The sequence below is a fragment of the Homo sapiens genome, chromosome 6, assembly GCF_000001405.40.
Source record: "Homo sapiens chromosome 6, GRCh38.p14 Primary Assembly".
In the NCBI taxonomy this organism is placed as follows: Eukaryota; Metazoa; Chordata; class Mammalia; order Primates; family Hominidae; genus Homo; species Homo sapiens.
Genome location: NC_000006.12, coordinates 142,132,386 through 142,157,497, shown reverse-complemented (window position 1 = coordinate 142,157,497; position 25,112 = coordinate 142,132,386). Strand labels below are relative to the sequence as shown.

At 35.6% G+C, this 25,112-nt stretch overlaps 3 protein-coding genes across 7 annotated transcripts in view, besides 4 other annotated features; 1 reads left to right on the top strand and 2 right to left on the bottom strand.

Annotated features, from left to right (window-relative positions):
• Nucleotides 1-10,235, bottom strand: part of VTA1 (vesicle trafficking 1) — a 77,423-nt gene extending 67,188 nt beyond the window's left edge. For all 3 annotated transcript variants that reach the window (NM_016485.5, NM_001286371.2, NM_001286372.2), the window contains exon 1: nucleotides 10,099-10,235. In NM_016485.5, coding sequence (NP_057569.2) covers nucleotides 10,099-10,210 — 112 coding nt within the window. In that variant the 5' untranslated portion in view covers nucleotides 10,211-10,235. The remainder of the gene's footprint in view (nucleotides 1-10,098) is intronic.
• Nucleotides 1,232-1,859: an enhancer, noted in NCBI's record as "OCT4-NANOG hESC enhancer chr6:142476776-142477403 (GRCh37/hg19 assembly coordinates)". NCBI's record gives its function as "activates a minimal SCP1, AML or CMV promoter by ChIP-STARR-seq in primed H9 embryonic stem cells {active_cell/tissue: H9 hESC(primed)}" and the evidence as "EXISTENCE:reporter gene assay evidence [ECO:0000049][PMID:30033119]".
• Nucleotides 9,534-10,054: an enhancer, noted in NCBI's record as "H3K27ac hESC enhancer chr6:142468581-142469101 (GRCh37/hg19 assembly coordinates)". NCBI's record gives its function as "activates a minimal SCP1, AML or CMV promoter by ChIP-STARR-seq in naive H9 embryonic stem cells {active_cell/tissue: H9 hESC(naive)}" and the evidence as "EXISTENCE:reporter gene assay evidence [ECO:0000049][PMID:30033119]".
• Nucleotides 10,212-10,506: an enhancer, noted in NCBI's record as "tiled region #1984; HepG2 Activating DNase matched - State 1:Tss, and K562 Activating DNase unmatched - State 1:Tss". NCBI's record gives its function as "activates a minimal TATA promoter and a strong SV40 promoter by Sharpr-MPRA in HepG2 and K562 cells {active_cell/tissue: HepG2 | K562}" and the evidence as "EXISTENCE:reporter gene assay evidence [ECO:0000049][PMID:27701403]".
• Nucleotides 10,309-10,448: an enhancer, noted in NCBI's record as "active region_25176". NCBI's record gives its function as "activates an Ori minimal core promoter by ATAC-STARR-seq in GM12878 lymphoblastoid cells {active_cell/tissue: GM12878}" and the evidence as "EXISTENCE:reporter gene assay evidence [ECO:0000049][PMID:35858748]".
• Nucleotides 10,376-25,112, top strand: part of NMBR (neuromedin B receptor) — a 72,639-nt gene continuing 57,902 nt past the window's right edge. For 2 of the 3 annotated variants that reach the window (NM_001324308.2, NM_002511.4), the window contains exon 1: nucleotides 10,376-10,454. The gene's annotated coding sequence lies outside the window, so the exon portion shown is untranslated. Of the gene's footprint in view, nucleotides 10,455-14,867; nucleotides 14,943-25,112 lie in introns of all 3 variants that reach the window. The other variant, NM_001324307.2, reaches the window with a different exon arrangement.
• GJE1 (gap junction protein epsilon 1) lies at nucleotides 22,140-24,573 on the bottom strand. Its single transcript, NM_001358410.2, has 3 exons — nucleotides 24,301-24,573; nucleotides 23,454-23,648; nucleotides 22,140-22,959 (listed from the first exon to the last, which is right to left on the bottom strand). Exons 1-3 carry the CDS (start codon nucleotides 24,337-24,339, stop codon nucleotides 22,576-22,578), a joined length of 618 nt encoding a protein of 205 aa, NP_001345339.1. The 5' UTR covers nucleotides 24,340-24,573; the 3' UTR covers nucleotides 22,140-22,575.

The following is a 25,112-nucleotide window of genomic DNA, read 5'->3' as shown; positions in this document are numbered from 1 at the left end:
ACAAAATAAAACTCATGTTTGCATATATGTTCACAAAAACAAACTTAAGAGGAATGGAAGGCTAATGGATAAATCAGTAGTCCAACATTCTGTGTGTTTATTGTCAATGCTACAGTAAAGTACCCTGAGAAAGCTTATTAATAAAAAAAAGTAAGTAATCAAGCAATAAGACTATAGACTCTAGTCTATCATTCAGGAACCAGCAAAGACTGAAAGGAACTGCTTCTCTTTATTGGTTTAGTTAAACTTGTCTGAATGAATTTAAAATCCAATTTCTATGTGATTAACCCAACAAAAAATAGTAAGAGGCAAGTTATTATTATTATCATTTTTTTGAGACGGAGTCTCGCTCTGTCACCAGGCTGGAGTGCAGTGGCGCAATCTCGGCTCACTGCCACCTCTGCCTCCTGGGTTCAAGCGATTCTTCTGCCTCAGCCTCCTGAGTAGCTGGGACTACAGGTAAACGCTACCACGCCCGGCTAATTTTTGTATTTTTAGTAGACAGGGTTTCACCATATTGGCCAGGCTGGTCTTGAACTTCTGACCTCGTGATCTGCCCACCTGGGCCTCCCAAAGTGCTAGGAGTACAGGCATAAGCAAGTGATTGTTAATGCTAATATCCATGTAGTTTACCATCTATCAATAAAGAAATCCATTGTTATTTAGCATTTACACTAAATTAACATTTTCTACTGGTATGTCCTGTAACATCTCAGAACTGAAATAACTTTATATATACTTACAGCTTCCTGAACAACTATACTGTATTTAATTTTCTGATGATGATATCAACAAATGAAGACTCTTGAGACTGTGTGTATACTTTAACTGGAAGTTTATTAACTTTACAATGTCACCCCCTAGAGGAAGCTTTAAAAATTGAAACTTGAAATTTTATACATTTACTCACGGCAAACTGAAAAAGGAAGGGGAAAGTTCTGAGTTTAGCTTTATCTACAGCACCAAACCTGGCAGAATCAAAATATTTATCTAACAGTGCCCACTTTTAGTAAAGATTCAAATATTTTCCGGCTTCATTAAAGAAAAATAAAGAGATGGAGCTCAGAGACATACTATTAACAGAAAGCATCTCCTTCATTTTCCACTCTCCACTTAGGGGAATCTCCGAGATTTTTTCACTGGCTTTTTTGCCTTTTTCTTTTGCCATGGATTGTACTAGTCCCTTTCCCCTCAGTTACTCTGTGGCTCACTCAATAACTGGTTCTCTAATTACTAGCTACTACCAACAATTTTTCATTCAACCGTTTTTTTTAATCTGACTTTGTTTATTCGAGTCTTGGTTCTATCACTTAGTAACAGAAGGACCAGAAAGACTGTGAGGCAGACATCCTGAAAGAAAGCACTGTTAAAATGCCAATCAGCTACAGGAATGCTAGTTGTCTGCCTTATTAGGTGACAACTGTATGGCCATACTTCCCTCTAGGGACCACAACTGCCTTAAAATTCAGGTCAATTTGGCTAACACTTTTTGAGCACCTGTTCTTTATTATGTAAATATCTCTAGTGGCCTAGCACTACCAGGCAGAGTAAATGAATAAAAACTGGTAGCACAGTGTAAGCCTTCCTCAGTTTACAGTCTAGAAGAAAGACAAGCAAATGAAAAAGCAATTACGGTAAAGCTACACCAAGGCATAAAGAACAAAAAGAAACACCTTAAAACTAGGAGACTTAAGAAAAGGCCTCCCAGAGAAAGTGACTTTCAAGCTAGTACCCAAAGGATAAAAATCTAGTGAGTGTGGTGGGGAAGAGAAGAGGTGTCAAGGCAGATAAAGTAGAATGTTAAAAGGCTTGGAGACAACCAAGTGCCTAATGTTCTAGTAACAAAATGAAATTAATTTGATTAAAACTACAAAAGGTGATTCAGAACTCAAATCATGAGGGGTCACTGAAGACAAAGATTTCTTCAGATAGACATATGGAACTGCATGTATAATAATTCCGTATTCCACACTTTCATATAAACCTTCCCTCACGTTATAAAAGATGCTTTGTAATGTTTAAACAATTACATTACTTTCTATGCAGTGGATATAACATAATTTACTTAACCATTTCCATAATGATATATATTTTAGGTTATTTTGAGCTTATCATAAATGTATAAATAATCATTCAGGAAATTCTGCATAAAGGTCTTACTAAATGTATAGTTATTTCCTGAACACGTTTCCCCAAACTGGAATTACTGAATTAGATACTCTACATTTTGCCAAAATGCTTTCCAAACTTTGTACCAATCACACAGCCATGTCAGCAAGGATCTGAACGCGTACTCATTTGTACTGAGTCATATTTTTACAGTCAAAAATTGTTATTCCACTTTAATTTACATTTATTACTAACTAGGATGAATGCTTAACTCTAGCTAATAAATTTCAAAATACAGTAGAAATGAAAGATATTCTAGAAAACTACTATATCAAGAATGGCTCAAGAGGAAAATATTTTTCTAATGGAAGAAATTGAGAAATATAAAAAAGCACAAAGTTCTGCTGTATCAATGATTTTTTTAAATCTAAAGAAAGCGGTAAATCTGCTTGCGTTTTTAATCCAACTCACATTTGAGGAAAAGGAGTAATTTTCTCAACAATATCTAAGAAACCAGAGTAACGCTGTTACTAAAAATCTCAAAATGATAACGTAACTATAATATATTAAGAACTCTCAAACTCAAAAATAATGAGCAAAAACATGAAGACATTTTACTGAAGATGATACCCATATGGTAAATAAGCACATGAAAAGGTTTTCAACTGTATTAGCTATCAGGGAAATAAAAACTAAAACCACAATGAGATATCACTGTACCTATTAAGAATGACTAATTAAAAATAGTGACACAAAATGCTGGTGAGAATGAAGAGAAACTCTATCACTTATTCATGTGTTGCCAATAAGAGTGTAAAATGGTACAGATGCTCTGCAAAACAGTTTGACAGCTTCTTATAAAACTAAACATGCAATTACCATATGATCTAGCAACTGAATTTGTGGGCATTTATCCCAGGGAAATGGAAACTAGGGTCACACAAAAACTATACGTGATTATATTCACTTTATTCATAATTGTCACAAATTTAAAACACTTAAATGTCTTCAATGATTAAACTGTTACACTGTAGTATACACATAGGGTGAAATTCTACTGAGCATTAAAAAAGGAATAAACTTGGATAAATCTCCAGAGATTATGCCAAATGAAAAAAGCCAATCCCAAAAGCTTATATATGATTTCATTTAATAGAACATTTTAAATGATAAAACTTTAGAAATGGACAACAAGTTACTGGCTACCAGGGGATGGGGGTGAGGTAGCGAAAAGGAGAAGGCAGGTTATATTAATAAAAGGGCAACAAGGGGAATTCTTAATTATTCTCTATCTTGACTATGGTAATGGGTACAGGAATGTACACCTGACAAAGCTGTTTAGAACTAAATATACACACACACACACAAATACATGTAAAACTGACAAAGCCTGAATAAACCAGTGAATTGTACCAATGCCAATATTCTGGTTATGGTACATTATTATAGTTTTGCAAGATATTATCATTGGGGGACATTGGGTAAAGGGTACACAGAATCTCTCTGTAATATTTCTTACAACTACATGTGCTGCACATGGACCTACAACTATTTCAAAAGAAAAAGTTTAATTAAAAGAAAATGCAAAAACTAATGGGATTCTTTCCAGAAATGGAGGGATGTTTCAAATATGAGAGAATTTACTATTTTGCTGCTACTTACATTAAAAAGTTCAAACACATAAACAATAAGCCTATTAGCATTTCCATAGACGGCCAAAAGTAATTTGATATACATTATTTCAACATTCATTCCTGATTTAAAAAGAAAACAAAAGACCAACCAACTTCGAAATGTAGGAATATTAAGGTAATTTTAAAAAGTGATAAAACACTAGAAAATTCCCATTAAGGCCAGAAGTGAATCATTTTTGGAAATGATATAAATACTAGAAAGGATAGGGCACAAGGTGTAAATCATATGATAATATGACCTATGACTCAATCTAAAATTCATTATAAACATAGTAAGGTAATGAGTTAGAGTACTAGGATTGTTTCCATTCTATTTTGTCATTGATTTGTGGTAGAACATTAAAAAAAAAAGCTATGAATTACTGTATAGTTTGTTTACTCAATCGACAGATAAGTTTTACAGGTTATCTAACATGTCTTAGATACTATATTAGGAGGTGGACATTCAATGATCATCACACGACATACTTCTTGTTCTCATAGAGTTTACATTTTAGTGGACTATTAGTAATATTTAGAGAGGAGGCATTCATTAAGAATTTGTAAATTCCATTTATGTGTCAGGTGGTAAAAAAAGAAAAAGATAATCCCTGTCCTCCAGGAGAATCAAGATTGAAAGATAAACAGATGTTTATATTATAACACATGTGATGAGGGGCACACAAGAACAATTTCTAGATCATCTTTAAGAGGTCATGAAAAATAATCTGTAAGAAGTAAAATCTGCACTGAGTCAGTAAGTTAGTCAAATTAATAGGAATGCAGAAGGATTCCTGGCAGAGGGTAGCACATAGCCCATGGAGCTTTTATGAATCAGCAAGTAGTTTAGCAAAATACTCTTGAATTTTTTTCTCACAAAAAAAAGTTTCCCTGCTCTAGGAATTTATAAAATTATTATATGCTCTAAGATTATAGAAATGTATCCCTTAACATGTTTTTATGTTGATGTCTACACCTTTTCATGAGAAGGTTAAACAGGTATAAAAAATGTGATTTCTATACTACATCAAATATTGACATCTAAAAGTTGTATCTTTGAAACTAAACTATCATAGCAACTTGATATTTATCACATTTTAAAATACAAAAAGTACTTTTTTAACAGAAATTTTACATTGTTATGAATTAAATCAAATATTTATGTATTAATATTATTTATTGCCATAATGAGGAAGAGTAGACTATTGGGGTTCTGTTGTTATTTTTTATTTTTATAAATTAAATTCACAAAAAACAATCCCCCCAAATCCCAGTTTTTCCCATGTTACACAGCAAAATCACCAAATTCTTTAAATTATTTCTGAGTTACAGGCTAAAAACCATATAACCACCTATCATCAAATATTTTAAATAAATTCTAAGCTGACAATTAAATTAGGCCCACTTTAAAATTTGTTTAAAAATTAAAAAGGATTTGTTACCCCATCATTACTCATTTTCTCAATTCCTGTGATGTATGCAAAAAGATATTATAAAGATTCATCATCTTCTTTCAATCAGAGCCTTCTTATTTATTGTAGGATGCAGAAAGGATTGGGAAAACTTGAAATACTTGTTCCAACATCCCTCAGTGAAAAAAAAAAAATAGTAATAACAAATAAGGTTCAATCTCATCAGCTGTTTTATTTTCTTCTTCTTCTTCTTTTTCTTATTATTTTTTTGAGACGAAGTCTTGCTCCTGTTCCCCAGGTTGGAGTGCAATTGCACGATCTCAGCTCACTGCAACCTCCACCTCCAGGTTCAAGCAATTCTCCTGCCTCAGCCTCCCCAGTAGCTGGGATTACAGGCACCTGCCACCACATCCAGCTAATTTCTGTATTTTTAGTAGAGATGGGGTTTCACCATATTGGCCAGGCTGATCTTGAACTCCTGACCTCGGGTGATCTGCCTGCCTCAGCCTCCCAAAGTGCTGGGATTACAGGCATGAGCCACCGTGCTCGGCCAAGCTGTTTTAAATGTACTTCCAGAAGAACAAAACAAAACAAAAAACCTCAGAGCCGAAGATTTTAGCTCATTTAGTTTAAAGAGAATGTCTACCACACTGTTTAATGGCAATGCCAGTTGCTAACACCAAACTAATCAGCCAAGTAAGAGTTACTTTTTCAGAGAAATACAATATTCCAGTTGGAATGTCAACTCATGTCCCCATTTTATTTCTAAATTCTAATTATAAAATAGCAATAAGCTGCAGAGCCTTGCAGGAGCTTGTTTGGATGAAACAAGGTACTCTCATCTTCAGTATTTCTCCTTTGTTCTTGGTTTTGCTCTCAACCCAAGATTGGTATTCTTTAATAATGAATACAGAATGAGGCAGTAAGGTCATCTCATGAAAATTTTTATCATTTTGAGAATTCAGAATACTGCAACACAGGACCGGTTTTAACATAAGGCATTACCCTTAACAGATACATGTATAAATGTAAGAGACTCTGAAAGACTGAGATTTCCCACTGTGGTCCCTCCACATCCCTGTCCCTACAGCTAATCTTCCTCACATCATCTTGCTCATGACCTTGGCCCCAAACTGTTCCTCCTCAACCTCTTGATAAAATCCAAGATGACCTAACAATGGCTGCTAATATCGCAGAATAACTCCTCCCTCTTCGGAGATCCACTGACCAACTGTTCCTGAAAAGAGACAAACTCCAGGTGACTCCCTGCATCCCCCATATACAATTCCAGGTGACTCCCTGCATCCCCCTTATACAAAGTTCTACCTCCTTCCCCTCAAATTAGAATGCTCTTTTGGAACCTTTCATGCTTAGCTTTTTTTTTTTTTTTGGAGATGGAGTTTCGCTCTTGCTGCCCAGGCTGGAGTGCAATGGCACGATCTCAGCTTACTGCGACTTCTGCCTCCCAGGTTCAAGTGATTCTCCTGCCTCAGCCTCCCAAGTAGCTAGGATTACAGGCATGCGCCACCACACCCAGCTAATTTTGTATTTTTAGTACAGACAGGGTTTCTTCATGTTGGTCAGGCTGGTCTTGAACTCCCGAATGAAGGTTTATTTTTTGCTCTGGCTGGTTTTCTTCAATGTAAGACCAGGAAAGATAGGAAGGTCTATCCAATGCCTTAATTAATGGAGGCTTCACTAACATGGGTAATTTGAATTGTCTCTTTTGTCTGGACACCCTGGAGGATTTTCCACCTTCTCTTTCAAGGCAATACAACATAAAAGCACTCAGGATGCGTGAGAGTATGCCGTTCTTCATTAAAGTGGGAGAAGGACAATTGTGAACAGGATGTAGGAAAAGATAAGCAGCATATTATATACTACTTTGCTACCCTGACCACAGGAGCTTTGTTAAGAACAGTTTTTGGAAGGAAAACATGGAAGTCAAGAATTGGAAAATTGATTCCTTTGGAATTATTTGCCTACTCCAGTTTGGAGAGCGCTGGTCTAGCATGACTAGCCCACAATTGTAAGGAAAGAAGTCACCAAGAGCAGTGTTCTGTTGAAAAGCAGAATCAGGCCCACAAATATAGCAGCTACAATGTTATCAAACAGCAAACATAAATCCATATATTTAAAGTGTTCACAGAAATAGAGTGGTTAAAAATATCAGTAACAAGAAACTATCAGAAATGGCCAGGCCAATATGAAAACCAAAAGAGAACACTAAAATAAAAAATTAAAGTAGAAATTCAATAAAAGGGTTAAACAATAAAATATAGGGAGGTGAAGATAAACCTCAAGAAATTACACAGAATGCAGCACAGAAAGACAAAGAGATAAAAAAAAATGACAGAATCAAGAGACAAGGAAGTTAAATGGGAGAAGTGCAAAACATGTCTAATCAAACTTTTATGAGAGAATAGAAATATAAGCAATATTTGAACAAATAATAGTAGAGAAAATTTTCCAAAATTGATTAAAAACACCCATCTACAGATGTAGAAAGCCAAAGTCCCAAACAAATACACGAAAAGAAATGAAAGCCTATAAAATCAGAAGGTTAAGTCCTAAGAGATTCATACAATGATTGATAACATTTTTAAATTAAGAACTTCTGAACATCAAAGGTCTTCAGAGTGAAAAATCAAACTGAAATGGGAGAAGATATTTACAACACATATAACAAAGGATTAACATCTAACATTATTAAGACAAGACTGTGACAGATAAATGGGCAAAAGCAATAAACAAGTATTTCAAAACCGAATCACAAATGGTTAATTAACATATGAAAAGATGCTAAACCTCATTAAGACTCAGAGAATTGCAGATTTCGCTCCAATGAGACACCACCATTTCACACCCACCAGATTGTCAAAAATTAAAAAGTTTAATAACATCAAATGTGATAGGCATATTAGTGTTCATTTTATTATTCCTTAAACTGTCTGCACATTACATATGCTTTTATATGTACATGTTTCATAACTAAAATTGTTAAGTGTCACCTGAGCAATAAAAATATTTCTTCATAAGCCTGATGAGAGCAGTTTCAGTGAAATACTGGGCATGAAAACCAGACTGCATGGGCTGAAAGGCTCTACAAGATAAAGGCGTAAAGCTAACTTATGGACAACTATTTCAAACTTACCTATAAGGCTGGAAAAGCAGAGCTGCAACTTTAGGGAATGATATGGTGAGAGTTTATGTTATATTTTTAAATAAAGGAAACTGGATTAGGTTTAGAAAAATCTAGAGGGAAAGGACGACAGTGAGTAAGGTGTCCCTGGTTTGTCACAAAGATACATGATACAGGGATCGGGAACAGGAATTTCCTTTAGGGATGAGAGATTCTTTGACCTTATCCCATCACTCCCAAGCCCCATCCACTCCAGTCACAATAGTCTACTTACTCCTCCTTCCAGCAAGCCTCTACTTCGGGACTTTTATAACCTCTATGGAGAATACTCTTTCCCAGATGGTGCAAGGTATGCCTTTCACTCTTTTATTTCCCCAAATGTCAATTCAGTGAAGTGTTCCTGACCACTATGAAACTGAAATCCCATCTGCACTCCCTGCCACCACTACTCCTGATACTCTTATTCCTTTTCCTTGCTCTATTTGTCTTCATAAGCTTTTAATACTCTATGTATGATAGACTCTATATTGTTGAAACTCTCTACCTCCATTGTATGTAAGCTCCAAAAATGCAGCAAATGTAGTCACAGCGCCTACTAATGCTTGATACAAAGGTAGCTCAATGAACACATACTGAATGAATATGGACCCTGCTTGAGGAAACTGAAGAACAAGTATAATAAAAATGATGCTGTAAAATTTGAACAAAATGAAGTAATGCACAGAGAATAATCAATTTGCTGCCCACAGAAGTGGTGACATTTGGGTTAGATCTTGAATCATGAGTTTGCCAAGTGCAAGAAAAAGGTGCACATTCCAAGAGAGTGGAAGATGGTAGGTCTGAAAAGGCCTTGCACATTTGAGAAACAGGGTACATTTGGAGTATGGCAGAGATAACAGTGACCAGATTTTAGCTAACCTTACAATATACACAACAATGGACGCATTATATCCAACTTCTCAACTCTAAATATCCTTTTCAGAATTATAATTGTCCAGTTACTTGTTTTATTTGCAGTAAAGTTAAGAGTACAGAATACAAAATAAAGTTAACACAGAATTACTGGCACTCCCTTTACTCACTACAAGTTTGAGCAGAGTTAACCTATATTTTTTTTAATCAAACTGTAAATTCAACGTATAACACTCAAAGTGAAAATACTGCTTTCAAAGGTCTCAACAGCGGGTATTATTCAAAGAAGTCAAAACTAAAAATTCTGCATGGTAGGAGAGAGCAGCTGGGTGGGGAAAGGTCAAATTCAACTGCTTATTTAGTAGCAGATACTCCCCATTTAACCAAATGAGTTTCTGATTGGGCTTGCATGCTGTCATAAATAATATTCACTTATTACTATGTTTTCAACTAGTCTATCGTCCTTTTATCCACATCACTCCTTCTTTCGGACACTCACCTTCGTTTTAAACCTAACTCAATTTATTTTCAGGATTCCTATTTGAGACAAGAAGCTCTTGTGTGTACACACACAGAGAAAACCTTGGAAGATTATATTCCACAGTTCAAGAGCCTGTGTAGTCAGTACTGGAGCATTTAAGCACAAGATAGGAGAAGCAGTGGACACCATGGTGTTTTGGGATTCCTACTGCCAGGGGGTGGGAACCCAGGGAGTTCCCTGGGTAGGCTCGAGGTCAAAGCTCAGGTTTAAAGCGAGGGGGGCGGGGCATGCCCCAAGAACCTCAGGGAGGTGTGTGGGCCCTAAAATGCAACTGGGAAAGAAAGGGCGCGGCCACTCGGAAAGACTCACAGTAATAAGCCACCACAGGGTCTCGCTTGTCATGCTCCTGAGCCGTCCTCAGATGATGCTGTATGCTCTTGAACTGTGCGGGGAGCGGGGGCAGCGGTGCAAGCGCGGCCATCTCTACTCCGAACTCACCACTTCCTACTCGCGCTCCACCGGCACTTCCGCTTCCGTCTGGGCGGTAGCGCGCACGAGCGTTCAGAGCAAATGCTGCCCACTCTTCCGTTGCTCAGCGACGTCAAGTCAACTACGGATCCCCAGCTGGGACAACCTCAGGGTGCTTGGCTCTCGGCGGTTAGAACCCACAGAAGACCCGAGCATTTTGGCGCTTATGCCGCGCATGGCGCTAGCGCTCTCTGCTGGTAGGAGGAAGGGTTTTTGTTTTGTTTTGCTTTTTTGTTTGGTTTGTTGTTTGTGGCAAAAGGAAGGATAGAAAAGGAAAAACAAGAAAATAATGTATGTTGACTGGGAGAAAGTATAAAGGCGAGAATTGCCTTTGGCGTCATTCAGGAATTACCACTTCCAGTTAATATGCCACATTAATATTCCATATAGCAGTGTCCTTTAGAAGCCTTTTTGATTTTAGAAACTTTAATTTCAATACTTGCATGAGAGAGAAATAATGTGTTTAAATTGTAAATTAAATTTTTCTATGTTGACATACTGGATAAAATAATCAGATTTCGCGCCAAATTAAGCTAAACATATGAAGCTTAAAGAAGATTGAACTTTTGTTCTCAGCTGGCTAGTACGTATTTTAGTGAATGAATAATCTGTAGATCACCTTTTTTTTTTCTGGAGAGTGATTAACAATTTGTAAAGTATTTTCATATTTATTATCTTGTCTTAATGTAAGATAGGGTGTTTGGGACGTTTTCAACGCTGGTAACTCTTAACCATTGTACAGTAGGCATCACTTTTCCTTCTACCCTCAATGACTTCAATTCTCTTCCTCTCCTCTCCATCCCTTACTTATATCTTTCAGGACTGTACACTTTATTTACTTCCTCCAATAACCTTCTTTATTTTATCTCAGTCCTCAGTTTTGACAATTCATCTTAAAACTAGTTTTCACTGAAATCACACTATCCCCAAGAGCCAAAATCTCCAGCTCGGAAATTCCCCTCTGCCTACTATTTTCTGATCACTCTCTCACCCCCAGAAGAAACCGCTCCATGTCCTCATATTATCCCACTCCACATACGTTGCCTAGACCTATTTGCAAAGTCCATCATCTTATTCTGGGTCGGGCTTTTTTACTCAGCCTGAAACTCAGTTCTGTCTTCTTCCCCAATCTCAGCGGCATATTTCCTACCACTGGAGAATGTATGGTTTCTTTCTCTTTCTCTTACTCCCACTATTTGGACTTTCCAGTCAAAAGTTGCTAGATTGGTAGAGAAATCAATGAAGAAAAGCAGAGTTGGATAACCATAACTGTTTTCTTTCTATACTCACAACTTTTCATTTATTTGTTTCCTATTACTTCTTGATTCTCAACCGCAGCTGCCCTTAAAGATCAACTTTAAAGCCCACTCCAGGCATTCTCACTTAATTGTTCTAGGTGGGATCCTAAATGTCAGTATCTTTAAAAGGTCCTCATGTAATTTTAATGTTACGTCTAGGGTTAAGGACCAGTGCTGTAGTCCACAGATGGTGTTTCAAACTTCTCTCGCTCTATTCAAGCTAGGCACTCAGCCCCAATTTCCTTGGTCTACAACAGCATTTCCTGCTATTGAGATTAAGGCCACCACCAGATATGAATTATTTTGCCTTGCCTCTACCACAACTTAAAGTAATAATAACTAGCTAGCAGCATTTGCTGAGCATCAACTATGTATCATGCATGTTTCTAGGGTCTTTATATTAATTTATTTAATTTGCACCACAACCCTATGAGGAACATATCATTATTATTTTACAGATGAGAAAAATAAGACACATAGAATCTAGATAACTTGCACTAGGTCACAGCCAGGAAGGATGAGTATTCCACATTAAAATCTAGGTATTTTGGTTTCAGAGCCTGTGCACCTAGCCATTACTACTTGACTATGATGTCTTTCTAGATCTTATGTTTTATCTTTTCTCTATTCCATCATCTTATGTCTGAGAAACAAATGTTCCTCTTCCTGGTAGAAGGCTGCACCCTCCTGTTACTCTCCTGATCTCCCCCTTCAGAAGTGAATTTTGCCACTCTTTCTCATTTGCATACATTCATGTGTACTCTTATTTGCATACCCTCATGAGCAGGACTGAGGGAAAAATAAGAAAGTGAAATGGTTGGAGTTGGATTTTACTCTCTGATCTGCCAACACATGCTCTTTTCTTTTCTTTCTTTTCTCCTTCCTTCCTTCTTTTTTTCTTTCTTTTTTTTTTTTTTTTTTTAGACAGGTTCTCACTCTGTCACCTAAGCTGGAGTGCAGCACACTATCAGAGCTCGCTGCAGTCTTGGACTCCTGGGCTCAAGGATCTTCTTGCCTCAGCCTCCTGAGTAACTGGGACCACAGGCACATAACACTATGGCTAATTATTATTATTTTGTTGCCTAGGCAGGTCTTGAACTCTTAGTCTCAAGTGATACTCCTGCCTCGGCCTCCCAAAGTGCTGAGATTACAGACAAGAGCCTCATGCTCTCTTCTTTCTAAATATGCTAACCCTTTCATGAGATGATAATTGATTTGATGGAGAACAGTACAGAGACAGTGTTAGTGTAACACACATTGAAATTATGCTATAAAACAAATATTAATGACTGTGAGGTTGCTTTTTCTTGTTTTACTATGATATTTTACTAGAAAGACCTACATTCTTCTTCTCCATTCATCTCAGACCAGTTTCTGAAGGATCTGACATCACCCTCTAGGACTGGGCTAGAACCTTGGCAAGTAAGGGGAGGGCAGAGCTGTAGAACAAAATAGGGGGTGAGGGCAACCATAGGAAGAAGAAAATGGAGAGAAACTAGAGCTGACAGGTGTTTTGATGGGAAAAAATGTTTTACACCATACCCTACATACACACATGTATGTGTGATCATCTGACAATAAAAATATTCTGTGTCCGTTTGGTCAGAACCATCTTGTTGGCAAATGACAGGGCATCAGTCAATGTAATCAGGATAATATATATATCTATAGCTGTATCTTTTTAAGATACTGTATGTGGTAGAAATTTGGCTTCCAGTATCATGAGACTAACATCCTATTATTTTAGCATCCCCCCCAAGTAGAAATAATTTTTCCTTAAATTTTCCGCAGAAGAATGATAGGGAAGACCCTGAAAACTTGGCCAGGACCATTTGCCACCCCATCCGCCCATGGCTGGGACATGTAGACACTATAAACATTGCATTTTATGTTTTAAACACGGATATTTAATTGTTCCGGCACATTTAAAACAATAAGCTAACTATATACGAATATAATGTATTCACAAATGTGAATTGCATTAGCACATTTAAAACAATAAGCTAACTATATACGAGCAAACATATTTCCAGTCTCTTGATTGTTCCCATTCCATATGCCTATCTTCATGCCCGGTCCACATGATTTTGATTATTGTACCTTTAAAGAAGTCTTCAGAGTATGTAGTGTAAGTCCTCTGTCTGTTTTTTTTTTTTCCTTTGCTTTTGCAAAATTGTGTTGGCTATTCTACATCTCCTGTATTTCCATATAAATTTTAGAAACAGCTTGTCAATTTCTATATAAGTTTCCTAGGATTTTGACTGGAATTATATTGAATTTACAGATCAGTTTATAATGACTAAAGTTACAAATGAGTAAGACTGCCAAGCCTTACTCGACATGGTTTATTTTTCCACTTAAAATGGTGCAGTGGCTCACGCCTGTAATTCCAGCACTTTGGGAAGCCGAGGAGAGTGGATCACCTGAGGTCAGGAGTTTGTGATCAGCCTGGCCAACATGGAGAAACCCCGGCTCTACTAAAAGTACAAAATTAGCAGGGTGTGGTGGCACATGCCTGTAATCCCAGCTACTTGGGATACTGAGGCAAGAGAATCGCTTGAACCCGGGAGGCAGAGGTGGCAGTGAGCCAAGATTGTGCCACTGCACTCCAGCCTGGGCGACAGAGCGAGACTCCGTCTCAAAAAATAAAAAATAAAATTAAAATTAAAAAGTCTTTAATTATTTTCATCACTGTTTCGTAGTTTTCATTGTACAGGTCTAGCACATATTTTGAAAAATTTATCACTATGCATTTCATATTTTTTATTGCATTGTAAATGATTTTTTACATTTAAATTTTATTTTTTATTACTCTATAGAAAAATTATTCCTCATAAGTTTATTTATATATATTTTTAAAGTTAGAGTCTTGTTCCGTCCCCCAGGCTAGAGGGCAGTGGTGCAATCATAGCTCACTGCAGCCTCAAACTCCTGGGCTCAAGTCATCCTCTTACCTCAGCCTCTGGAGTAGCTGGGACTGCAGGCAGGCACCACCATGCCTGGCTAATTTTCTTATTTTTTGTAGAGGTGGAGTCTTGCTATATTGCCTAGGCTAATCTCAAACTCCTAGACTCAAGCGATCCTACTGGCTTCACCTCTAAAAGTGCTGGGATTACAGGCATGAACCACAGTGCTTGGCCTATAAATTTAATTTTTTGGAACGTTCTTTAGAATTTTCTATGTACATGACCATGTCTGTGAATAAAGATTTATTATTTTGCAATTCATATATTGTTTGTGTTATTGTACTTATTGCATAAATATATATTTATATATATATGTTTATTTTGTTTTTGTCTTATTGAATTCCAGTTCAACGTTAAACACAAATGGAAAAAGTAGAAAGCCTTGCCTGTTTTGAGACTACAGGGGAAATTGTTAATTTCTGTAAGTTTCCTTAGATGCTATTTATCAAGCTTAGGTAGATCTCATTTAAAGTGAGAGGTTTAGGGTTTTTGGTTTGTTTCATTATAAATGGGTGTTTATAATATAACTTTTCATTCCCGGGGTAAACCCCGCCTAATGTGATGTATTATTTTTATATATATTGCTGGATCCTATTTGTAAATATATTTTTGCTAAGAATTTTTAATATCAACATTATGCTAGCCTCCTTACATGAAATGGCAAATATTCTCTTCTAATTCCTAAAAAAGATTTTGGAGTATTATTTCTTCCTTAAACATTTAGTGGAATTCACCACTGAATTCATCAGGGCCTGGCATTTCTTTATGGGAAAGCTTTGGATTTAAAATTTTAAAAATCGATATATGGATAAGTCATATTTTTTGTTTATGTCTTTCAATTTTTAGTAGTTTGGAATTTAGAAATTTTTTCATCTAAGTATCAAAAACTTATTGACCTAACATTGTTCAGGATGTTTCCTTACAATCGCTTCAAGGTTTTACTACAATGTCCCTTTTCTGATTTATCTTATGGATGATTTTCATTTTCTCCCTTATTATCTCATATTATCAAACCAGAAATTTATAAGTTTTATTAATCTTTTCAAAGAACCAGATTTTGGTTTAATTGATTTTCTCTATTGTCTTTGGGTTTTATATCACTGTGTTTTGTACTCGTATTTTTATTTGCATCCTTCTATTTAATTTGTATTTAAATTATCTTTTAAAAACTTCAGGCCGGGCGTGGTGGCTCATGCCTGTAATCTCAGCACTTTGGGAGGCCGAGGCCGGTGAATCGCGGGGTCAGGAGTTCGAGACAGCCTGGCCAACATGGTGAAACCCCATCTCTACTAAAAATACAAAAAATTAGCTGGGTGTAGTGGCGGGTGCCTGTAATCCCAGCTATTCGGGAGGCTGAGGCAGGAGAATCGCTTGAACCCAGGATGCAGAGGTTGCAGTGAGTCGTGATCGCAACACTGCACTCCAGCCCTGGAGACAGAGTGAGACTCCATCTTAAAAAAAAAAAAAAACAAAGCAACACAACTTCAGAAAGTGAGCAGTTAAAATCACAATATAACTTCTTTTCTAACATAATATTTAGAACTTCTAATATTCCACCAAACACTGTTTTAACTGCTTTCCACTTACTTTGATAAGTTGTATTTGCATTTTTGTTTAAAGTAGTTTTTAATTTCCCAGGTAATTTTTTCTTTGATCCATGGGTTAATAAAGGTATGTTGTTAATTTTTCAAACATTTAGATGCATCCCTGATATCTTAATTTTATTAATTTCTAGTTTAATTCCATTGTGACCAGAGACTATAGTCTGTATGATTTCTATCCTTGAGACTTTCTTATGGGCCAGCAAATGATCTCTTTTGGTGAATGTTACACACACACTTGAAAAGAACATCTGTTCTGTTGTTGCTGGGTGGAGTATTCTATAAATATCAATTAGTTCAAGTTGCTTATTAATAATTTATAATCCTCTATATCCTTTTTGATATTCTATTTACTTTGTCAGTTTATTACTGAGAGAGAAGTGTTGAAATCTTTAGCTATAATAGGATATATTTCTTTTTTCAATCTATCAGGTTTTGCTTCATGCATTCTGAATCTCTATTAACTGGTGGCATACATATTACAACTATTATGCTTCCTGATGAAATTATACTTTCATCATTATGAAATGTCTCTTTAATCTCTGTCATCATTCCTTGCTGTAAAATTGACTTGAGTTTTCTCATATTAATATAGCCAATTGAGCTCTCTGATGCTTAGGATTTGCATGATACATCTTTTCCCATTTATTTTCTATAAAATATTCAAGATTTTAAAATATTAAACCTTTAAATATTTAAAAATGTTTAAAGTGGGGTTCTTGTTAATAATTTGGTCTGGCTTTTAAAAGATACATTTAGACAATCTCTATGTTTTTGGAGTGCCAGGATCTTTTGTATTTATTGTTAACCATTGATATGTTTGGGTTTGGTTCCACTACCTTGTTATTGTTTCTATTTGTTTCACCTGCTTTTGTTCTCTTTTTTCCTTTCCTGCCACCTTTTATATTAATTGAATGTTTTATGATTCCAGTTAATTTTGTTTGTTTGCTTGTTAAGCCAAAATTGTGTTGGCTTTTTAAACTGGTTGTTTTATATTTTATAATATACAACTTAAAGTTATCACAGCATACTTCAACTGATAATATACTTTACATATATTACAAGAATCTTATAATAGTATACTTCTACACTTGATTTGATTTGCCGAGGTTTATCAATTTTATTGTAATTTTCAAGAGTGATCTGGGATTTATTTATTTTATTTTGTTTGTTTTCTAAAATGTTACTTTTTACCTATATCCTTATTAAATTATTTTTGTTTATCTTTGTTTAATAAGTTCTTATGTTTGCTTTTTGAATTACATTTATGTTTCCTTTTTCATAATAGATGTATTTTCAGCTGTCAATTTTCAGTGCACTACGAATTTGCTCATATCTCATAGGTTTTAATATGTAGCATCCCACTTCTTGTTCACATAAATAGTCGGAAAAGCTTCAGTTTAAATTACCTTATTTCACCAAAGAGCTTTTTATGAAATGCTTTTAAATATCATTTCAAATGGTTAGATATTGTTTAGTTTTGATGCTCTTATTAATTTTTACTATATTTGCATTTTAGTCAGAAAAATTAGTTTTTATATTGGAATATGAATTTTGATATATAGCATTTATTATTCAGGACTATATAGCTGTGTGCTAACAATTCTGATATAGTTACTAATAAAATGAAATCATAGTAGGTCGGTAGTGAATTTACAAGATTGTCTAAACCACCTGTCTCGTCTTATCTCTATCTTTAAACATAACAATATGTAGTGTTTAGTTCAAAGAAGTAGAGGGAAGCAAAGTTTCTTTGGTGGCTTAGAGATGCCATCCTTCCACCTTGTCAGTTGAAGAGATCAAGAGCTCAGGGAGGCCGAGGAAGTTGGCTTTAATGGATGCTACAGTAAGGTAGCTGGAAAAGCGAGAGAGCTCCAGAGATCTGCAAAGGGCATTTAAGTGAGTCCTGATGGCAGTGCAACATCTTTAAATATCTTTACAGGAAAAGAACTAATTGAAAGGATCAAAAGGAACAATACTCAAGATTCACACAAGACTGAGAATAGTTGCTGTTCCCAAAGTCAGAGTGGAAAAATCCCTTAATAAAGGGATATACGTTGACAATGCCCTACCCTAAAGGATGAATCAGAGTAAGAATAAATCCAAGCGTTTATCTATGATTGGGCAATAATGTTAAGGGGAAGTCTTCTGTGGGATTTTTTGGAAAAGTGATCTTCCCTGGGGAAGAATCCTGAGAGGCAAACCAGAAGAAGGTCCTTTTGCCCCATCTCCTTTCTTTCCTTGGACACGGAGAGAACCTGTTTCATATGGCAGTGGCAATTTGTGTCACCACCACAGTCAACCAGCAGGAGGGTAGAATTCAAGATTTTTGAGACTAGTGAAAGGATAGTATTTCCAAACCACCAAATAGACATCTGATAGAGCACACAGAAAAGTTCTTCCTTAGTATTGGGGCAAAACTGGCCTTTCAGTAAGTACTACACTGGTCATATATAACAAAGCTTAAAAGGAAGCAGAAAGGATCATCTGTTTCCAAGTAACTTAACTGTGCTCCAGAACTAAGTTGAAGAATATTTATGAGAAGAAAAATAATTGGCATCCAACAGGATAAAACACACAATGCCTGACATTCAATAAAAAAGTACCAGCCTTGCAAAGTTGCAGGAAAAATAGGACCCATAATGAAAATGTGTATGTTTGTCAGCAGATTGGCGGGAGCATTCCACCTTGAATGCAGGCAATCAAGGGGTATGTTATCTATAGAGAATTTAAAAATAAGGATAAAATATTAAACAAGGTTGCTGTTTATTAACACCAATTGTTAGTTATTCTAAATAAAGAAAGTCAATAAATATCCTTTATTTGTAGAGTGGACAATTTTTACCAGTCCCCACCCTGTTGGCATGCCACTGCTATAGTATGATTTTATAGCTCACGTGCTAGAGTATGATTTTATAAAGGTATTAAATCTTGATGATCTTTTTATACGAATTTTTTAATGCAGTACTTGTTAAATAGCAGACATCAGTAGCTATTTGTGAAATGAAGATAAGTTGGATTTTCTCCTGTGCTTTCATGTAGAGAAAACCTCAATGATGAAAACCTTAGATCCAGAAATTCATGATATCAAACACAGGCTGCATAAAGCTTGAGGAAAAATGGAAAACCTTAGTATTTGACTATACTGATTTCCCTACTAAGTTACCAGTATAAGGCAGTAATACATAAGGATTTTAAATAATATCAAATGAATCAAATGATTGTTGGTAAGGCAGGCAGATAAAAAGAAATACACTAAATCAATATAAAATTGTCTCTGAAATAATTTCATAGCTATTGAGGAAGTCTAACTTAATATAAACACAGTGTTCCCTTTTGATAAATATAGAAGTTATAGTTGCAGGACATCTGTGGGCACAGAAAGGTTTTTTTTTTCCCCAAGAAGAAACAAGGATCCCATGCGCAATATAATCCATAGCATTTTTTATTTATTTGGTAACTATATTTCTATATCATTTTAATATTGAAACTTTCAAGAAAACTGATTGAATATCCACCATGATCAAGTGGGCTTCATCCCTGGGATGCAAGGCTGGTTCAATATGCGCAAATCAATAAATGTAATCCAGCATATAAACAGAACCAAAGACAAAAACCACATGATTATCTCAATAGATGCAGAAAAGGCCTTTGACAAAATTCAACAACGCTTCATGCTAAAAACTCTCAAGAAATTAGGTATTGATGGGACTTATCTCAAAATAATAAGAGCTATCTGTGACAAACCACAGCCAATATCATACTGAATGGGCAAAAACTGGAAGCATTCCCTTTGAAAACTGGCACAAGACAGGGATGCCCTCTCTCACCACTCCTATTCAACATAGTGTTGGAAGTTCCGGCCAGGGCAATTAGGCAGGAGAAGGAAATAAAGGGTATTCAATTAGGAAAAGAGGAAGTCAAATTGTCCCTTTTTGCAGATTACATGACTGTATATCTAGAAAACCCCATTGTCTCAGCCCAAAATCTCCTTAAGCTGATAAGCAACTTCAGCAAAGTCTCAGGATACAAAATCAATGTACAAAAATCACAAGCATTCGTAGACACCAATAACAGACAAACAGAGAACCAAATCATGAGTGAACTCCCATTCACAATTGCTTCAAAGAGAATAAAATACCTAGGAATCCAACTTACAAGGGACGTGAAGGACCTCTTCAAGGAGAACTGCAAACCACTGCTCAATGAAATAAAAGAGGATACAAGAAATGGAAGAACATTCCATGCTCATGGGTAGGAAGAATCAATATCGTGAAAATGGCCATACTGCCCAAGGTAATTTATAGATTCAATACCATCCCCATTAAGCTACCAATGACTTTCTTCACAGAATTGGAAAAAACGACTTTAAAATTCATATGGAACCAAAAAAGAGCCCACATCACCAAGTCAATCCTAAGCCAAAAGAACAAAGCTGCAGGCATCACCCTACCTGACTTCAAACTATACTACAAGGCTACAGTAACCAAAACAGCATGGTACTGGTACCAAAACAGAGATCTAGATCAATGGAACAGAACAGAGCCCTCAGAAATACTGCCGCATATCTACAACTATCTGATCTTTGACAAACCTGAGAAAAACAAACAATGGGGAAAGGATTCCCTATTTAATAAATGGTGCTGGGAAAACTGGCTAGCCATATGTAGGAAGCTGAAACTGGATCCCTTCCTTACACCTTATACAAAAATTAATTCAAGATGGTTTAAAGACTTAAATGTTAGACCTAAAACCATAAAAACCCTAGAAGAAAACCTAGGCATTACCATTCAGGACATAGGCATGGGCAAGGACTTCATGTCTAAAACACCAAAAGCAATGGCAACAAAAGCCAAAATTGACAAATGGGATCTAATTAAACTAAAGAGCTTCTGCACAGCAAAAGAAACTACCATCAGCGTGAACAGGCAACCTACAAAACGGGAGAAAATTTTCACAACCTACTCATCTGACAAAGGGCTAATATCCAGAATCTACAATGACTCAAACAAATTTACAAGAAAAAAACAAACAACCCCATCAAAAAGTGGGCAAAGGATATGAACAAACACTTCTCAAAAGAAGACATTTATGCAGCCAAAAGACACTTGAAAAAATGCTCATCATCACTGGCCATCAGAGAAATGCAAATCAAAAGCACAAGGAGATACCATCTCACACCAGTTAGAATGGCAATCATTAAAAAGTCAGGAAACAACAGATGCTGGAGAGGATGTGGAGAAATAGGAACACTTTTACACTGTTGGTGGGACTGTAAACTAGTTCAACCCTTGTGGAAGTCAGTGTGGCGATTCCTCAGGGACCTAGAACTAGAAATACCATTTGACCTAGCCATCCCATTACTGGGTATATACCCAAAGGACTATAAATCATGCTGCTATAAAGACACATGCACACGTATGTTTATTGTGGCACTATTCACAATAGCAAAGACTTGGAACCAACCCAAATGTCCAACAATGATAGACTGGATTAAGAAAATGTGGCACATATACACCATGGAATACTATGCAGCCATAAAAAATGGTGAGTTCATGTCCTTTGTAGGGACATGGATGAAATTGGAAATCATCATTCTCAGTAAACTATCGCAAGGACAAAAAACCAAACACCGCATGTTCTCACTCATAGATGGGAATTGAACAATGAGAACACATGGACACAAGAAGTGGAACATCACACTCTGGGGACTGTTGTGGGGTGGGGCGAGGGGGGAGGGATAGCATTAGGAGATATACCTAATGCTAAATGACGAGTTAATGGGTGCAGCACACCAGCATGGCACATGTATACATATGTAACTAACCTGCACATTGTGCACATGTACCCTAAAACTTAAAGTATAATAATAATAAATAAAAGAAAAGAAAACCGATTGAATAAAATTTTAAAAATGTAATTGTTCAATTTCTTCAAGTTAATGGTCAAACTATGTAATTACTCTTTAATAATTAATTTCCAACTTTTGTGCTTAATAAGTTATATTTTACATGAATGCAAAATAATTACACCCTCAAATTTAAAACTGTATAGTTCCACAGAAAGGGAAATATAAATATCTGGATTATGACTTTGACCACCTAAATTAACCCTCATGAGCATCAATTTTCCACTTCGTAAAAAAAGACAATAAAAGTTTCTCTGGCCACAGAAAAACTGATCAATTAACATGTATGTGAGAGAACTCTGTAAAAGCACTGTTTAAAAATAAATTAACAGTAGTTCTGTGTATATTTTCTAATAAAAGTGATCAAAATTAAAATGAAATATTTCTTCAAGAATCCTTACCTTACAACCAGGCACTATATTTTATAGTAGACAAAAATTTCAGACACATTGAAGTAAGTTTGTTTTGAAATTGTACTCACTGAGTAAGATAAAACTAAATAAAAATGATAAATAACTGCAGCATGACAATAGGTAATTATTTGGTCATTGTCTGAATGGAAAGTATAATCTTCTAAATATGATCTCAAAAATCTCAGCAACAAATAATAAAATTGTAATTGTTGTAAATGTATTTATTGCAATGAGAAAAATGGTTTTTTCAAAGTGTTCTGGAACCATGCATCTTATAATCATGTTTTCCCCAAGAGATCTAGCATCACACAGGTAAAGAGATTTTACTTGGAAACCAAAGAGGTAAATCTGAAGCCAGAATGCTATTGCCGCTAGACTAATTCTTAATAAAACAGAGAGTATATAAATTATAGTGTAGATAGGCTTTTGAAGAATGCATTCTTGATTGATGCTTTTACATGCAGCATAAAGGTGGAAAAGAGCTCCAGGAACCAGGACAATAACTAGTTGTAATGCCTAGAACACCTAAAGTATGTCAGAAATATCTTAGTAAATCAATTAATCAATATGTAACTAAAATACACTAAAAAAACCCCACTAACTCTCAACAGAGTCTAATTTAAAAATTCCAAGTTTCATAAAAATCTTATATGTGTCTTAATATAATGAAGGTAGTAATGTTGAACATATTTATTGTGAAAACATAGTCATATATTACTGTAATTGCCTCTCAATGACTGATAATGATGAAGTAGTTTATTTTATTAGACAGCTAGTCTATATCCCAAATATAGATCTGGAGAATAATGATAACATTAGTAGATAATAAAATGCCAGAATTGGAAGAAACTCCCCAAAACTCAATTTATCTGAAATATACAGCTAATTAAAGAAAAAGTAACATAATCCTTAGGAACAAAAAACCTGTTAGGGTATTTCTCATATTATGACATTATTTTACATTTAAAGAGAAAATGAGTTTGTTGTAGAGTTAATGTTTATGTGCACACAGAAAAACTTACTTGTGGAGTGATTGGCCTGAACTGATTGTAACAGAAGAGGTTTACTTCTCTTTTGTCTGGATCGCAAATGAAGTGCAAGGCCTCATTCCCATAAACTGCAAAGCCTAGCACCCCGAGGAAGAATATTCGGATCGATCCAAAGAAAAGGGTGTGGAATTGACCAATCACAGTTGGAGGTTTAACCTGTTATGGTTTTAGGAGAAAAAAAATCTTTTAAACACAAACATTAAAGGAGGACATTTAAAAAAATCCTTATATCACATTTAAAAAATGTAAGAGTCAAGAAGTTTTGAAGCCAAATAGACCCTTAGAGATCATCAAATCAAATATAATTCCTGCATTATGAGATTTCTCACTCTTAAAATATGAAAAGCAATAGTTGATAGGGACATGTGGCTAATCAAATGTGTAATTTTGGAAATATTTATACAGCTTTGAATTCAATTAATATCCCCACCATTATAATCCCTTTGAAATAAAATCAGAATATCTAATACTTCTTTTTGAAAATTAGATAAAAAATCCAGTAGTAAGCTCAGTCCGTACACTATCTTAACAACCAAATAATGTTTATTAATTGTAGTTAAAGCTTTTTTCCTCTGCTTCTTAATTAGGGAATTGAGAGAGTGAGCCACACTAAAACACCAACATCTAAAGACACTTCCTGAATTTTTCTCTTTATAGTTTTAAATTCAGAATATTTTGAAGTATATGGTTGACACTTAACAGTATTCTCCATAGATGTAGAGAATTTATTCACCAAGACTTATGCAATTCAGGGTAAAATACTCAGAAAAGACTCATACAATTGATTTTTTGTTTGTATAATACTTACACATCCTTCATAGAAGTTTTTGATGTAATTTAGAGACATGTCTCAGGAGATGTTATCCTGGCATTCCTGTTGGTTAATTCTTGACCCACATTGCCAGTTTGCTTCTGCCAGAATCAAACTCTTACATTCTCTCAGGACTCTTACAGCAGAAAACACTCATCACTACAAATTTCTCTCCCCTCCTCCTTTACTCTTAGATCTCTGGGGCCCCATTCAACCTTCCTATCTCTGTCCCAAAACAAAACAAAAACAAAGAAACAAAAGCAGAGAGCATGTGGCCAATCTAATAATCCCTTGACTTACACTGTCAGCATAGCCAGCCAGCCAGCCAGCCAGGAGTGCCAGCAAAGCAAGAGGCCACCCCCACAAAGGTTCTGAGCACTCAACGCTTCTGCAATTACCTAAAAATGGACTGTATCTAAATTAGTGGGCTCTTTAGCTTGGAGTTTTCTCTGATAATGTTGAAGTAATCTTTTTCTTTTCCTTTTTATTTTATTTAGGTGTGTCCTAAAGGAAAAGTACATGGGAAATATTCCTGATTCTTTATTGTTTACTTCCATAGAGTATAATTAATTTCTGGGAAATCCTAAGAAATTGTTAACACAGGATATAATAGTTATTGCATTATTGAATATTATTGATGTATTGCTATATTTGTCTAGTTGTTGAATGCTTGCCACAGACATGGAAAAATCTGTAATTAGATCTCTGGGCTAAGGAAAAAGATAGCGAACTACTAATTAAGGCAAGGCCAGGAGCTAGCACATATCATGAGAACAATCCTTCCCATCCTTTCTTTTGTCCTTCAGCAG